The sequence below is a fragment of the Homo sapiens genome, chromosome 5 (genome assembly GCF_000001405.40).
Source record: "Homo sapiens chromosome 5, GRCh38.p14 Primary Assembly".
NCBI lineage: Eukaryota > Metazoa > Chordata > Mammalia > Primates > Hominidae > Homo > Homo sapiens.
In genome coordinates, this window is record NC_000005.10 from 172,098,798 (window position 1) to 172,114,601 (window position 15,804).

The 15,804-nt window shown below is 51.3% G+C and overlaps 1 protein-coding gene across 4 annotated transcripts in view, besides 2 other annotated features; it reads right to left on the reverse strand.

The window, feature by feature from the left end:
- STK10 (serine/threonine kinase 10) overlaps positions 1-15,804 on the reverse strand; it is a 146,146-nt gene that overhangs the window by 56,719 nt on the left and 73,623 nt on the right. For all 4 annotated transcript variants that reach the window (XM_047417629.1, XM_047417628.1, NM_005990.4 and 1 more), the window contains 3 exons: positions 8,983-9,055; positions 7,823-8,017; positions 6,859-6,940 (listed from right to left, as the gene is read on the reverse strand). In XM_047417629.1, coding sequence (XP_047273585.1) covers positions 6,859-6,940; positions 7,823-8,017; positions 8,983-9,055 — 350 coding nt within the window. The remainder of the gene's footprint in view (positions 1-6,858; positions 6,941-7,822; positions 8,018-8,982; positions 9,056-15,804) is intronic.
- Positions 3,049-3,835: an enhancer, noted in NCBI's record as "H3K27ac-H3K4me1 hESC enhancer chr5:171528850-171529636 (GRCh37/hg19 assembly coordinates)". NCBI's record gives its function as "activates a minimal SCP1, AML or CMV promoter by ChIP-STARR-seq in primed H9 embryonic stem cells {active_cell/tissue: H9 hESC(primed)}" and the evidence as "EXISTENCE:reporter gene assay evidence [ECO:0000049][PMID:30033119]".
- Positions 12,291-12,760: an enhancer, noted in NCBI's record as "active region_23621". NCBI's record gives its function as "activates an Ori minimal core promoter by ATAC-STARR-seq in GM12878 lymphoblastoid cells {active_cell/tissue: GM12878}" and the evidence as "EXISTENCE:reporter gene assay evidence [ECO:0000049][PMID:35858748]".

A 15,804-nucleotide genomic window follows, 5' to 3' on the forward strand; every position in this document is an offset into this window, starting at 1 on the left:
ATATTAGGAACAGCTGTTATAAGCATTATGGTAAATGCTCAGATATGGCAGCCATCATCATCATCATCACCACCACCACCATCATCACCTTCACCACCATCACCACCACCATCACCACCATCATTACCATTACCATCATCACCACCACCACCATCATCACCTTCACCACCATCACCACCATCATTACCATCACCACCATCATTACCATTACCATCATCATCATCACCACCATCACCTTCACCACCATCACCACCATCATTACCATCACCATCATTATCAACATCATCATCACGACCATTACCATCACCACCATCACTATCACCATCATTACCACCATCATCCCCATCACCATCACCATTACACCCATCACCACTATCATCACCATCACCATGACCATTACCATCACCACCATCACCCCCGTCAGCAGCAGGAGCAGCAGCACAATCAGAAAAGCCCGTTATGGCCCGGCACAGTGGCTCACATCTGTAATCCCAGCACTTTGGGAGGCCAAGGCGGTGGATCACCTGAGGTCAGGAGTTCAAGATCAGCCTGGCCAACATGGTGAAACCCTGTCTCTACTAAAAATAACAAAAATTAGCTGGGCATGGTGGTGCATGCCTGTAATCCCAGCTACTCAGGAGGCTGAGGCAGGAGAATCACTTGAACCCGGGAGGCAGAGGTTACAGTGAACCAAGATCATGCCAATGCACTTCAGCCTGGGTGACAAAGGGAGACTCTGTCTCAAAAACAATAACAGAAAAAGAAAAGCCTGTTTTGCATTCCTAGCCACTCCTATTCCCTCCCACATGCCCCCAGAGCACAGCTTTTTGGAACCAAAGGTGAGAACCAAGATCCCAAAGGTGAGAACCAAGATCCCAAAGGTGAGAACCAAGATCCCAAAGGTTCCTAAGCTCCACACTGCGCAATCTAACACAAGTGAACTTGAGCGAAACGCCACAGGACGCTTCACTGCAGTGGCTGAAGCAGACGCGGCAGAAATAAATAAACACAGGCAGGGGCTTCTGGAAACACCAGGTTTTCATCGGGGCACCCCATGTATTGATCAAATCAGTGGCTTTTCAGCACGGCCAGGAACTCTGCTTTCTTGAGGCAGAATCATCTGCCCACTGCCTCCCTGACCACCCCAGCGTCCTTAGGAGGAGGAAGGAGGGCCATGGGGAAGAAAGTCTGTGATGGGTGGGTGAGGAGGGCAGCTCTGCCAGGCACCAGAGCAAGCAAGGCTGGCACACAGGGCCACCCGTCCTATGGCTGATTAGGCCCAAACACTGTTTTACAGACTGCTCTGGGACACAAAACACAGACCACCTCCACCACGGCATCAGCTCCTCTGCCGCCAGAGATGTGTTTAGAGGCCCATTAGAGAGATAACGCCCTGGCTATGCTGCAAGGGAGAATCCTAGCCTGCACCAGGTAGGCTGGTCTGGGCACACGTGTCCCCAGTGGAAGGCTAGATCACAGAGGAACTTGACCTCCCAGTCCTTCCCCCCAGTAAGAGGCACCGGCTGGCTGTTCAGTGCCATCTTTGCTGAAAAAGGCAACCGGCAGCTGCTCTCTAGCCAGGGCCTCCCCTGCCATCTAAACAGATGTCCTTTCCAAGAACTCAAGCCTACTTTTCCTCTATGTGCTTAGAAACCATCAGCCAGAGGGGTCCTATACTCCAAGATGGGCTTTAAAAAACGCCAAAAAGGCCAGGCATGGTGGCTCACACCTGTAATCCCAGCACTTTGGGAGCCTGAGGCAGGTGCATCACTTGAGGTCAGGAGTTCGAGACCACCCTGGCCAACATGGCGAAATCCCATCTCTACTGAAAATACAAGAATTAGCCGGGTGTGGTGGCAGGCGTCTGTAATCCCAGCTACTCGGGAGGCTGAAGCAAGAGAATCGCTTGAACCCAGGAGGCGGAGATTGCAGTGAACCGAGATCAGGCCACTGTACTCCAGCCTGGGCAACACGACGAGACTCCATTTCAAAAAAAATAAAAATAAGAATAAAAACACCTAATAATGCTCGCAGTTTTCAGGCGCTGGCATCTCTTTCAATCCTCTCTCCCTTCTGGTCTTCTTCCCTCCCTCTCTCTTTCATTCATTCGGAGAGGCAGCTTACCAGAGAGGTCAAGAGCACAGACTCTTGAACCCGAGGACCAGGATCAGAACCCAGCTCTGTGGCCTACAGGCTGTGTGACTTTGTGCCAGCTACTTCACTGCTGTGTGCCTCCGTTTTACCATCTGCTCAACAGAGAGCTGAACAGCATCTACTTCAGAGCGTTGGTATGAGGATTAAATTAGGTGACATTTGCTAAGTATTTATAATCGTACCTGGCATGAACAAAGGGTTATGTAACAGTTTGTTAGGTAAAAATAAGTCAATTTTGGCCAGGCGTGGTGGCTCACGCCTGTAATCCCAGCACTTTGGGAGGCTGAGGCAAGCAGATCTCCCCAGGTCAGGAGTTCAAGACCAGCCTGGCCAACATGGTGAAACCCCACCTCTACTAAAAACACAAAAATTACCCAGGCGTGGTGGTGCATGCCTGTAATCCCAACTACTTGGGAAGCCGAGACAGGAGAATCACTTGAACCCAGGGGGTGGAGGCTGCGGTAAGCCAAGATAGCTCCACTGCACTTCAGCCTGGCAACAGAGCGAGACTCCGTCTCCAAAAAAAAAAAAAAAAAAGTCAATTTATTTAGCAAATATTTGCTGAGGGCTCTCTATATACCAGGCACTGTTCCTGGGACCTATCAGCGAACAAAACAAAGACGCTGTCCTCAGGGCACTGACATGCCGGGCAGGGAGCTTGACAACAAACCTAATAAGCAGGCAAGTTATATCCTGAGTGCCATGTGCCATGGAAGAAGGAAGAAGTAGGGCAGGGAAAGGGGACTGGGAATGTGGGGAGTGTAGTGGGTTTGCAATTTCATGTGGGTGGTTGGGGGAGGCCTCACCACAAGGCTGACATTAGAGCAATGACTTGAAGAGGGAGAGTCAGTCACAGAGGGATCCGGAGGAAGGCCATTCCAGGCGGCATGGACAGCCAGTGCCAAGGCCCTGAGGCAGGAACATGCCGTGTTCAGAGCACAGCAAGGCGGCTGGGCAGGCTGGAGAAGAGTGAGGCTGGAGTGTGGGAGCGAGAGGGGCGATGGGGGTCAGCAGGGTGGGGGGGGCGGATCACACAGCACTCTAAGGGGCCCTGAGACTCTGGGTTTTCCCTAGAGTGAAACGGGAGCCACTGGGGAGCTTTGGCCCGGGGAGGACATGAGCTGGCCCCTGTTGAGAAGGTTCACTCTGGCTGCTGTGCTCAGCCCAGACCCAACAGAGAGGGCAGGGGACCAGCGAGGAGGCAGCAGCCCGAGTGAGAGGTGGTGGTGGCCCAGGTAGTGGCTGCAATGGAGGGGTGGGAAAGGCTGAAGTCTAGGCACGTACCGAATGCAGGGACAACGGGATTTCCTGATAGGTGGGCTAGGGAGTGTGGAAGAAAGAGGAGCAAGGGTGCCTGCATGGTTTGGGGCCTGAGCCACTGGAAGGGTGGAGCTGCCATCGGCCGAGATGGGAAAGCCAGTGGTGGAGCACGTCGGCGAAAAGATCCAAGTGCTCAGCGTTCAGTGTGAGATGCCCACTGGACCTCCGGGGAGTCAACAGCTGGACGCGGGCCGAGGCATGGAGCTGGGAGTGCTGCACGCTGGGTGCGTGGAGATGGAGGGAGGGCCCTGTGCACTCTCACACTAATGAGCTGGGGCAAAGGGGGGCGAGCAAAGGCAACGGAGAAGGAGAGGCTTATGACCAAGGGTGTGTGGAGGCCTGGAGGTCGAGTGCCGACAGGAGGAGGAGATCGACTGGGCTGGTGCTGTTGATGTGTTCAGTGAGACCAACACCAAGGCTGACCCATGGCACAGAAACCGCTGACAACCTTGACAAGAGCAGCTGTGATAGAGTGGACGGGTTTAAGAGCAAATTCAGCCAGTATCTACTCAGCACCTCACATGTGACAGCTGTATGTTAAAAATGTTACATACAAAATCTCATTCACTCACACAATCCTGTGCAGCCAGCACTCTCTACATCTTACAGATGAGGAAACTGAGGCACAGAGTGAGAACCATGCAGATTCTGGGTGGGGGGGGCGGGGCATGGCATGTCTGATTTCAGAGCCTGGTTACTAACCACAAGTTGGTCCAGGCCCAAAGAATGTCTGCAGGAGTCAATGAATGAATCACAAACCAATGGGGGCGTGAATCACTCCGCCCAGGGCGGGACACAGGGAGACGTGAGAGCCAGGCACTTCTTGGAAGCCGGTAGACACCCTGAAGGCTGACAGCACTGGAGGTGGGGGCTGGGAAGCCAAGATCTGGGCCCACCTCTGTCACTCAAAGCCAAGCGGCCTGGGGCCAGTCACCTCCCTGCTCTGATCCCGGTGTCCTCCCGAGGGGGTAATGCCATGCCCACCCTCTCTCACTGGAGAGGAAAAGGCGCGTGGGTGAAGCCAGCAGCAGCACAGGCGTGAAAGGTGCTTTATTCATCTCCAGAGATCGCTCCTTTGTTCTGCAACCCTTTCTGCTGGACGGTAAGAATCCTCTGGCAGGACATTTTTTCCAAGTATGGAGCGGAAATTCCTGGCTGAGGCTGCAGCTCCGGAGCTGCCATATGGGGATGGGGGACAGCTGGTCTCTCCGTGGAATGTCCTGGAGGCCGGATGTATCAGGGCAGGAGGTGCCTCTTACAGGAAACAATTGGCCCCAAGCGGCTTGGACAGTGACAGCAGCCCCACTCGACCCCACCCACTTCGGGGGGCCCCAGCCCACTCCCAACAATACCCAGAAAATGAGGCCTTTGGGCACTCCAGAAATTTGCTTTCAAATACGTTATAGAAATGTAAAAGGAACAACTGTGACCCCCCACCCCCGGCAGTAGATAGACCTCATTTTGCATTCTGGTTCTTTTCATTTTTAAAAAAATAAATACCTCAGTCCTATGCATCAAGCATTCCTGGAGCACTGTGCTTAAGAGTTAAGCTAAGCGCTTCATAGTACCTCTTCATTTAATCCTCACAACCACCCAGTAAGGGGACTGCTGCTATTCACTCCCATTTCAGAGTGACAAGCAAGTCACAGAGAGGTTAAGCCATTTGCCCAGGGGCTCACAGCCAGTAAATGGCAGAGCTGTCGAACCCTGGACTTTCCCGCCCCAGCTCACACTCATAATAACTAAGCTGCTACCCCAGAAGGACGCACAGTGGCTCAGAATGCCGACCACAGGCCCAGTGCATGGCACACAGTAGGAAGCTGGGAAAAGCTGGGTGAATACAAAGACTCAAGTGCCTGGTGTGGCGCCTTCCTCCCCTTCCTGCCACTGCACCTCTAAGGCTGTCATGCTGAGGGCAGGACCGGAGCCGACACGGCAGTGAAAGGGCAGCCCTGTTGCATCACCCAGGCCCATTCCTCCCCCTCTTCCATCAGTGGCAGTGACATGGGGACACTGGTCGGCAGATTTGCAAATGACCGGGCAAGTGCTGTGCACAGCCCTCAGAACACTGTTGTGGACACACCGACCTCACCCAGCCTCCAGCCATGACGCCCTAACTCGAGGCATGGGCCCAGGCAAAGAGTGGCTCACAGCTCCCTCCAATAGTTCAAAAAGCTTCAAGGAAACCATTATCCACCTGCCCATTCTAAGGCAGTACAGCCAGCTAATGAGATGCTCAGAGTCTCCTGATCCCGCATACAGCAGCCAGAAGGCAGGAAGACCCTTGTAAATGGATGTCGATGCTGTGTCTCCCCTAATGCACAGATAAAGCCCAGGACCTGGCTCTGGCTTGCAAGGCCCTGCAGGACCCTGTGTGCAGAAAATAACACAGCAAGCTTCAGAAAGGGCCGCTAACAAGGTTGGATCCTCAGCTGGTCTCTGCAAACTAGGAGAGGGCTCCCACCATTAACTAATAAGAGTGGCCCGCTCTGCCTAAACTGTTCTGCAAACAATATGGCTTAGGTGGAATACCTCCTTTCCTTCTAGAGTCTGGAACTCTGGTCTGTGCCAGGCAGGGGGTGCTTATGTGACCACTACCCACTAAAAACCCTAAGGGGCTTCCGTGGTGGACAGCACAGAGAATTAAGCTGTCCTGGTGACTGTACTGGGAGAGGGCTCTGGAAGCTTGCACCTGGCTCCCAAGACCTTTTCCCACACACCTCCTCCTTGGGCTGAGTTCTCTCTGTGCTTTTGCTGTCCTAAGTCTCCTGTGGGGAGAGAATATGCTGAGGCCAGGTGTTCTCCTAGGGAACCATCGAGCCTTGGGACAGACGCCCCAGTGCCTCTCCGCTCTCGTCTCCCCTCCCCTGGCCCCTGTGCTCCTGCTCCCCCACCTCCCACCCCCACCCCCTGGCTCTTCCCAGCATGTGTGGAACATGCTGCTGTCCCAGGCGTTTGCCTCCTCTCCCTCTGGGCCACTGGCCTTGCTCCTTCCCTTCCTGTGGACATCTGCTCACCCAGAGAACCCTTCCTTATCCTCCCTTACAAGACAACAGCTGATCCCAGGCGCCCCACCCCTGCACTGTGGATCTCCTTCCGTGGCACTGGCCACCCCCTGCCACGCACACATACTTGCTTATTTGCCACCTGTATCCCCACTGGAACACACGCTCCATGAGGACAAGGTCTGGGTGGCTTCGTTCCCCAAGGCACTCCCAACACAGAGCTGGCATTCAGGAGGTGCCTGGGGAATACCCGCTGATGGACAAACAGCTGTCCATGCTGTTCCCTGGGCGGGGTGAGAACATGCCCAGCGTCCAGGTCACTGGTGAGTTCATTAGGCTCCACCCTTCAGGGAGCAGAGTGGGAGGGGAATCCACTCACCTCCAGCAGCTGCGCGGCACTGGGTCGGGTTTCTGGGTTCTTATCCAGGGCTATCTTCAGGAAGTCACGGAACTCTACAGACCTGGGAGGACAGGCGTCAGAGGTAAGCATGGAGGAGGCAAGAGCAGAGAGAAGCCCCCCACGTCACAGACTCCACTGTCCCAATCATGCCCCTCAAAGGACAGAGGAAACTTTCACAAGCTAAAACAGTGACAGGGCCTACACGACGCCCTTTTCATCATGGACACCACTGTCCAGATGGGGACCCAGACATCGGCGAGGAGCAGGGACGTGCCCAGGCCACGCAGTGAGGAGACTCAGCAGTGCCGGGATTTGAACCCAGGCCCCCGATGTCCCGCCCAGGGTGTGCCATGTGGCTCCTGCGGCTCAGCTGGGGCTCCTGTTCCCCAGTGGGAGCCAGCTTATTTGGGTGACTTGGTTTGCTCTGGTGAAGATCTCATGTCAAGTGCACAGAGGCAGCACGGTAGCTCACGCCTGTAATTCCAGCACTTTGGGAGGCCGAGGCAGACGGATCCCTTGAGGCCAGGAGTTCAAGACCAGCCTGGGCAACATAGGAGACCTTGTCTCTACAGAAAATTAGCCAGGCATGGTGGTGGGTGCCTGTACTCTCGGCTACAAGGGAGGCTGAGGTGTGAGGATCTCTTGAGCCTAGGAGGTCGAGGTTGCAGTGAGCTATGACTGCACCACTGTACTCCAGCCTGGGCAAAAGAGTGAGACCCTATCTCAAAAAAAAAAAAAAAAAGGAACACAAAGGGAAAAAGAGGCACGAAGGGCCCGGGGGGGCTCAGAAACGCCTGAAGACCCCCAGGCCCCAACCTCTCCTTTGGAGCTAGCAGCACCAGGAGAACGCTACCACTGCACCTCCCCAGCCCCGTCCACCACATATTCCAGCCCTAATCCCGGCGCAGGCACCCCGGCAGGTGGCCCTGCCCCTGCCCCTCACCACTTAGAGGGCGTGAGCAGCGTGGGAGGGTCCGACTTGGCGATCTTTAGCAGGACCCGCATGGGGTTGAGCTCGTGGTGTGGCGGCTCGATCTGGGCCATCTCAATCAGCGTGATGCCCAGGGACCAGATGTCGGCTTTGTAGTCGTAGGGCGTGTCTTTCATGGTCTCACACATGACCACCTCGGGGGCCATCCTGAACCAACCAAGGGACAACATAGGGCTAAGAATCTGGCCTTTACAGGTGCTTCTTGGACATTCAGGGTCAAGGGCCACCACGAGCCACTGTCGGGGTTGGCAGCACTCCCGAATCATGATCTGCGTGACTTTGCATCCCACTGTCTTCCTTAGGACGCTCTTCCACAGAAAAACGCCTCCACGCGGCTCCCCGCCACGTCCTGCTGCAGTTCCGATGCCTACCGCGAGATGGCAGCAGCAACCCGGAACACAGAGTCCTGGGGAGGGGGCGGGTGGGAGCGGAGGGGAAGGTGCGGAGCAAAAAAAAAGGGGCGTGGAGGTGGGTGGGCGAGAAGACACCAGCACAGAGAGGAGAAACAGGTATAAAAGGGGGGAGAGAGAGAGCAAGGGTGAGTAACAAGCAAGCAAGAAAGGAGCCCAAACTACACAATGGCAAGTAATGCACATGAAAAAATTGGAAACACGGCAAACAGAGAGTAGTCAGGCGTGAAATTGAGTGACAGTGTTTTGCTTTTAAAGTAATAGTTCTGGAAAAGAAGGAAACACGACAGACTACAGAAGTCCAGGGAGACTTCACATGACGGTAGGAATTGAACTTGTACTGTTCACCTTCACGGTCCCCATCCCCGGCCCTCAATACATACGTGGCGAATAAATCACGAACTGAATCCTGTTTTATGGATTCTAGTTCAGTTATTAATGGAGTGCCTTCTATGTGCACCATTTCATTTCATTCTCACAGTAGCCTTATTAAGTAGGGGCCATTATATCCCTAATTTTATGGATGAAGAAACTGACGCACGGGAAAGCTAAACAGCTTGTCCAAGGTCACACAGCTAGTAAGCCACGAGGCAGGGCGTGTAGCCCTTGTCTTCCGGCCCCTCTCTGTCTAAAGCGCCTGGTGGTCACCTTGGAGAGTTTTTACATCCAGTCCATTCCATTTCCAGAAGCTACACGACTCACCAGTAAGGCGTGCCGATGAAGGAATCTCGTTTCTGTAGAGTCTTCAGATTCTTGGCAGACACACCAAAGTCAGCTGCAAGACAAAATCTCAGCTAGCGTTTTCCACCCATAGCCCTGGGGTAAAAGCCGGGGATGTGGACTCAGGGGTACACATTCCAAGTCGACTAACAGATGCCATTTTCTATCTAGCAAATTAGAAAGCATTAAAAATGTAAGACTATCTGCTGCTGAGAGGAAGTACCGAGATGAACACTTTCCTCTCTACTAACGAGAGCCTGCACTGGCAGCAGCCTTCAGGAAAGCAATTTGGCAATAAATAGCAAGAACCTTTAAAATACCCATACCATTTTAATCCAGTAATTCCAAATCCAGGACTCTGCCCTAATGAAACAGTCTTAAATTTAAAAAAATGCATAATGATGTTAATCAAAATCCCATTATAATAACAGTGCCATTATAAAATTATAATAATAGTGACACACTGAAAACAACCATAATTGCTTGGCTATCAGGCAGTGATTTTAAAACTTTTTATATAGATTAAGAAAAATGGAGGCCAGGCAGGGTGGCTCACGCCTGTAATCCCAGTACTTTGGGAGGCTGAAACAGGCAGATCGCTTGAGGCTGGGAGTTGGAGATCAACCTGGCCAACGTGGCAAAACCCAGTCTCTACTAAAAATACAAAAATTAGCCAGGTGTGGTGGTGGACGCCTGTAATCCCAGATACTTGGGGGGCTGAGGCACAAAAATCGCTTGAACCCGGGAGGTGGAGGCTGCAGGGAGCTGCAATCGCACCACTGCGCTCCAGCCCAGGCAATAGAGTGAGACTGTCTCAAAAAAAAAAAAAAAAAAAAAATTAGCCAGGTGTGGTGGCATGTCCCTGCAGTCCCAATTACTTGGGAGGCTGAGGTGGGAGAATCACTTGAACCCAGGAGGCAGAGGCTGCAGTGAGCCAGGATTGTGCCACTGCACTCCAACCTGGGCGGTATTTATTACTATTTATTAATTTATTATTATTTTTTTGAGATGGAGTCTTGCTCTGTCACCCAGGCTGGAGTGCAGTGGCGCAATCTTGGCTCACTGTAACCTCCACCTCCCGGGTTCCAGCGATTCTTGTGCCTCAGCCTCCCAAGTAGATGACATTACAGGCATGTGCCGACATGCCCAGCTAATTTTTGTATTTTTAGTAGAGATGGAGTTTCACCACGTTGCCCAGGCTTGTCTTGAACTCCTAACCTCAGGTGGTCCACCAGCCTTGGCCTTCCAAAGTGCTGGGATTATAGGCGTGAGCCACTGCGCCCGGCCTTACTGATTACTATTTATATTACTGTAAAAGGTTAAGTGGGGAGAAGGGGGATACACAGTTGAATATACTGTCTGGTCAGAATCATGCCCCTCTCACTCCAAAAAGGGGAAAAATACACACTGAACTGACTTGGAGGAAATATACCACACTACTTAAATGGCTGTGTGTGGGTGGTGAGACTTCCACACCTTTGCTATGATAAAGTGTATTATTTGCAGGACTAGCAAAAATAAATGAACACTTTTTTTTTTTTTTCATGACAGAGTCCACTCTGTCACCCAAGCTGGAGTGCAGTGGCACAATCATGGCTCACTGCAGCCTCAACCTCCCAGGCTCAAGCAATCCTCCCGAGTAGCTGAGACTACAGGTGTATGCCACCACACCCGGCTAATTTTTGTATTTTTTGTAGAGATGGAGTCTCTATGTTGCCCAGGCTGGTCTTGAACCCTGGGCTCAAGCAATCCTCCTGCCTTGGCCTCCGAAAGTGCTAGGATTACAGGCGTGAGGCACCAGGACCGGCCAATAAGATGTATCTTTACATGCATTCCAACACTCTCAGTCTTTCCTCACACACCCGCTGCTAAGAGAAGAATTCAGCGCTACCAAGAGAAATTTTCTCCAGGGCTCCTGCCTTCTGTGGTGAAGTTTCATCTTGACTGAAAAATAGATTCAGGATGAAACAACACTTTGAGAGAACCCGGGATGCTCCATTTGAAACTCCCTGAATGGAATTTATGAGGGGTGTCCCCTGCTAGATGATGGCTGCCTTTGGACGATTCATCCCAAGAAGCTGCAGCATTATGACAACTTCAGGCCACCCCGGGCACCAGTGCCTGGTCTTGAAATGAGCTGTATCCAGGAGCTCCTTTCAGACTTGCAACGTGAAACAAGGAGGCAGCACAATGCCAAGAGGCTGGGCCTGAATACGGGAGAACTTGGTTCCAGCCTCTGCTCTTCTGCTTCACTGTCCACTCACCCATTCATTCAGGTGCTCACCAGGCTCCATCAGGAGCGAGACACTAGCCGGGATCAGAGAATACAATGAGGACCCTCGGGGAATCCACAGTTTAGTTGGGGGAGCAGAGAGTAAGCAAATAAACAAACATCTACTCCTAACATGGAAAGTGTTGGGAAGACAGGACCGGGGCTACTCAAGAGTGCACAGTAGGGGGTGTGACCTCGAGGGGACGGTCATGGAGGGAGGGCTGGGGGCTTTGGAGGAAGGACAGTTTTATTCAGCATACACTAACTGCACATCTATTATGTGCCCGACACTGTTCTAGGCACAGAGATGAAAGCAACCAAGTCCTGCCTGACATGCCACATGTTATTCCCGTGGTGGCGACAGGCACCTGGCAAAACCCCCGGAATGCCTGGCAGCGAGAAGGGCCCAGGGCTGAGAAGGCAGGGAGAAGAACACAGTGCTGGGGTGCAGGGTGGGGAGCTACTTTAGACACAAACTCAGGATCTGGGGGAGGTATTTCCAGGCAGAGAAAACTGCAAACAGACTGGGAGGCAGGAAACAGCAGGCTGGAGGGACCAGCGGGGACAGGACACAGCCTGGCCGGAAGGAGGGGGCCGGGGGTGGAAGCAGATAAGGCAGGAGACGGGCAGGGCAGTTACAAAGCCTCTGAGCCTCAGTTTCCCCATCTGTGACACGGGGGTGATAGCACAGAACCATTGCGCAGGTTTTCCTGAGGATTAAATGACAAACGCAAAGCACTGTGATGCAAGGTCCACTCGTGGCAAAAGCGAGAAGATGGTGATTCTTTCACCGGCCCATGAGCCAGTCCAGCCTTTTTCAGGCTGGGGCAAGGCTGAGGCTGAACTAAGACCCCCCGGCACCTCCTGGGAGTGGTCAGGAAAGCTGGCTTCTGAGCCCCGGTTAGTGCTAACTGGACAGCAGTTGCTATATCAGGGGACAGTCTGGCCAGCAAGAGGGGACAGGGGGCCCTCAGCCTCCTGAAGTGGGACCAACAGGTGCTGCAAGTGAGGTGCAGAAGCAGGAAACCCAGGTAGAGCCTGGCTCTGCTGATGACTCTGGCAGGCGGCTCCCCTGGGCCTCCAGGGTAAGAATGGGAAGCTGGCCCCACCTTCCTGCTGGGTCAGCCAGGCCCCCCTGTGGGCCTGGCTCCCTCGCAAACACCACTAAGGGCTGGCACATCATCCCATCCCAGGAAACCTTTTGGGAACAGTGACTGCCTCTCAGGCCCAGGGTGAGGATCCCAAAAGGTGGCCACTCCCCGACCACAGGCCCTGCCGATCCCTTCCTGAGAAGAGAGACGAGAAACAGAAACCACCAACGTGCAATGACACACCGTAGGTCCCCAGGGCCTCCCTCAGGCACGCACCAGCCAGCTCTTTGGGTAGCTGCTACTTCCCCTTCTGCCCCACACGATGGGGCCCAGATGGGAGAGTGGGGCAGCCCCACCTTGCAGCCCAGAGAACTGAGCCTGTTTGCTCCCTCCGCAGAGTTTATAAGGGAGTGTCCCTTGATAGCTGATGGCTGCCCTTGAGCAATTCAAAAGGGATTTTCACCATGCAGTCTCTTCTGATGAAAACACTCCCCCTTCTCCTCCCATTTTAAAATGTATTAGAGACAAGGGCGGCGGAGATAAGGGAAATCTCCCTTTCTCCGCTGTAATTTCCATAAAGAAAGAGATCATTTCTGCTGTGGCCACAGTTGTATCCCTGGCACGTTATCTGGAGCAGGAAGCACTCAACAGGTTTATCGAATGAGCATGCTCATAAATAAATAAAGAGACAGAATTTGCTAAAATGCCTTTACTCATATATGTAAAAAATAAAACTGGGTTTTAAAAACTTGTTTGCCAGCAATTCTATTTGTAGAAATCCATCTCTAAAACCAGATCTATAATATATATGGATGCTTATAAAAGCAACAGCCAAAAAGAATGGAAAATTGGAAATCATCCAAAGTGTTGCTGGAGCTTCATTGCTGAATGGTTAGATAAGTTGTGGTTCACCCCAGCTATGAAATAACATGCAGCTCTTAAAAAGAATGAGGCTGTATTTGTATGGACTAACTTGGAAGTGTATCTCTAATACATTAATACATGTCCCAAACATGTTGCTGACTGACTGATGAGTCTTATAAAATGTGTAGCATGATTCCAGAAATGATCCAAGTGCAGGTACTCCAGTAGAAGATTATCTTTAAAGGAATAATATATGCATCTTGTGTGTACATGTCTGCACGCATGTGCATACACACACACACACACCGGTCTGGAAGTCTGCACATCAAACTTAATGTTCATCTCCCTGGAAGTGGGATTTTGGTGGGGGCAGTGCACAGAAGGGACCTTACTTTTTTTTTTTTTTTTTTTTTTTGAGACAGAGTCTCGCATGTCACCCAGGCTGGAGTGCAGTGGTGTGATCTTCGCTCACTGCAAGCTCCACCTCCTGGGTTCACGCCATTCTCCTGCCTCAGCCTCCCAAGTAGCTGGCACTACAGGCACCTGCCACCATGCCCGGCTAATTTTTTTTTTTTTAGTAGAGACGGGGTTTCACCATGTTAGCCAGGATGGTCTCGATCTCCTGACCTCATGATCCGCCCACCTCGGCCTCCCAAAGTGCTGGGATTACAGGTGTGAGCCACTGCACCCGGCCAGGACCCTACATTTTTCACTTTACACACTTTTATTCTTTTTTTTTCAGATGGAGTTTCATTCTTGTTGCCCAGGCTGGAGTGCAATGGCACGATCTCGGCTCACTGCAACCTCCACCTTCCGGGTTCAAGCAATTCTCCTGCCTCAGCCTCCCAAGCAGCTGGGATTACAGGCATGCGCCACCACGCCCGGCTAATTTTGTATTTTTAGTAGAGACGGGGGGTTTCATCATGTTGGTCAGGCTGGTCTCAAAATCCCGACCTCAGGTGATCCACCTGCCTCGGCCTCCCAAAGTGCTAGGATTACAGGCATGAGCCAACGCGCCCGACCCACTTTTGTTCTTTAAAATGTTTTTGATAGAGTGTATTGTTTCTATGGTTTAAAAAACTGAAATGCATATGTAGCAAAGTTTTTTGGTTTTGTGGGTTTTTTTGTTTTTTCTCTATTAAGTAAAACCCAGTAGGGGCCAGGATGTGGTGAAAAGAGAATTGCACACTGCACTGGGGGGGGTGTCAACTGGTATGACCAGCACGGAGGGCATGCCGGCTGCAGGATGAACAAAACCCCAACTCACTGCACACACCCAGCACTCTGCTTCTGAGAATTCCTCTTCAAGGTATGTTACAGAAAGAGACGCAAAGATCCATGAACAAGCACACTCATCACTGCATGATTTCGTAAAGATGATAAACCTCATGAGAAACCCAAGTATCCAATTCAGGGCTTTCCTCAGGGCTCTGATAGGTAAATTACATTTTGTGCCTGTGATGGGTACAAGAAAAACACGAAAATAATCATGTTTCTGAGGAATCTTTAAGGATATGGAGGAATACGCTGATATTCAATGTTAAAAACCAGACTAGGAAACTGTATATATATATAATAATCCTAGTTTATCTTATAAAAACTAATATTGTCACCGGACACGGTGGCTCATGCCTGTAATCCCAGCACTTTGGGAGGCTGAGGCAGGCAGATCACCTGAGGTCAGGAGTTCGAGACAAAAACCAACATGGAAAAATCCCCTCTCTACTAAAAATACGAAATTAGCCAGGCGTGGTGGCACATGCCTGTAATCCCAGCTGCTCAGGAGGCTGATGCAAGAGAATCGCTTGAACCCAGGAGGCAGCGGTTGTGGAGAGCTAAGATCGTGCCATTGCACTCCAGCCTGGGCAACAAAAGCAAAACTCCATCTCAAAAAAAAAAAAAAGAAAAACTAATATTTACTGAGAACTTACCATATGCATAGCACTGTGCAAAGAAACTTATGCATATCATCTGCATATCTATTCCTACACACATCGTTTATATCTATGACCCTTTAAGGCAGGGAAAATTATGACTCCCATTTTACAGATAAGGAAGCTTAACTTAAGAAAGACTAAGTAATGCACAGAAGGTCACCCAGCTGTGCTCTTTCCCACTATCTGATCCGACTTTTCTGCAGACAAAAAAAGACTTGGAGGGAAGCCCACGGAGAGTGGTGGTTTATTCTGGCAGGATTAGGAAGGACCTTAATTCTCCTTTTTGTGGGTCTTATTCCAAATTGTGTACAGGACTCTAGCTACTCTCGTGTGTGTGTGTGTGTGTGTGTGTGTATGTGTGTTTTCTGATTACCAAAGTCATGTTGCTTATTAAAAACTCATTATTTTTCAGATTAAAAACTATAATACTGACAACTAAACATTTACGGGTTTGCTGTGTATAGCTCCAAATTTATGTATATTAAAATTATATATATATATATATATATATATTTTTTTTTTTTTTTTTTTTTTTTTTTGAGACGGAGTCTCACTCTGTCGCCCAGGCTGGAGTGCAGTGGCGCAATCTCGGCTCACTGCAAGCTCCGCCTCCCGGGTTCACGCCATTCTCCTACCTCAG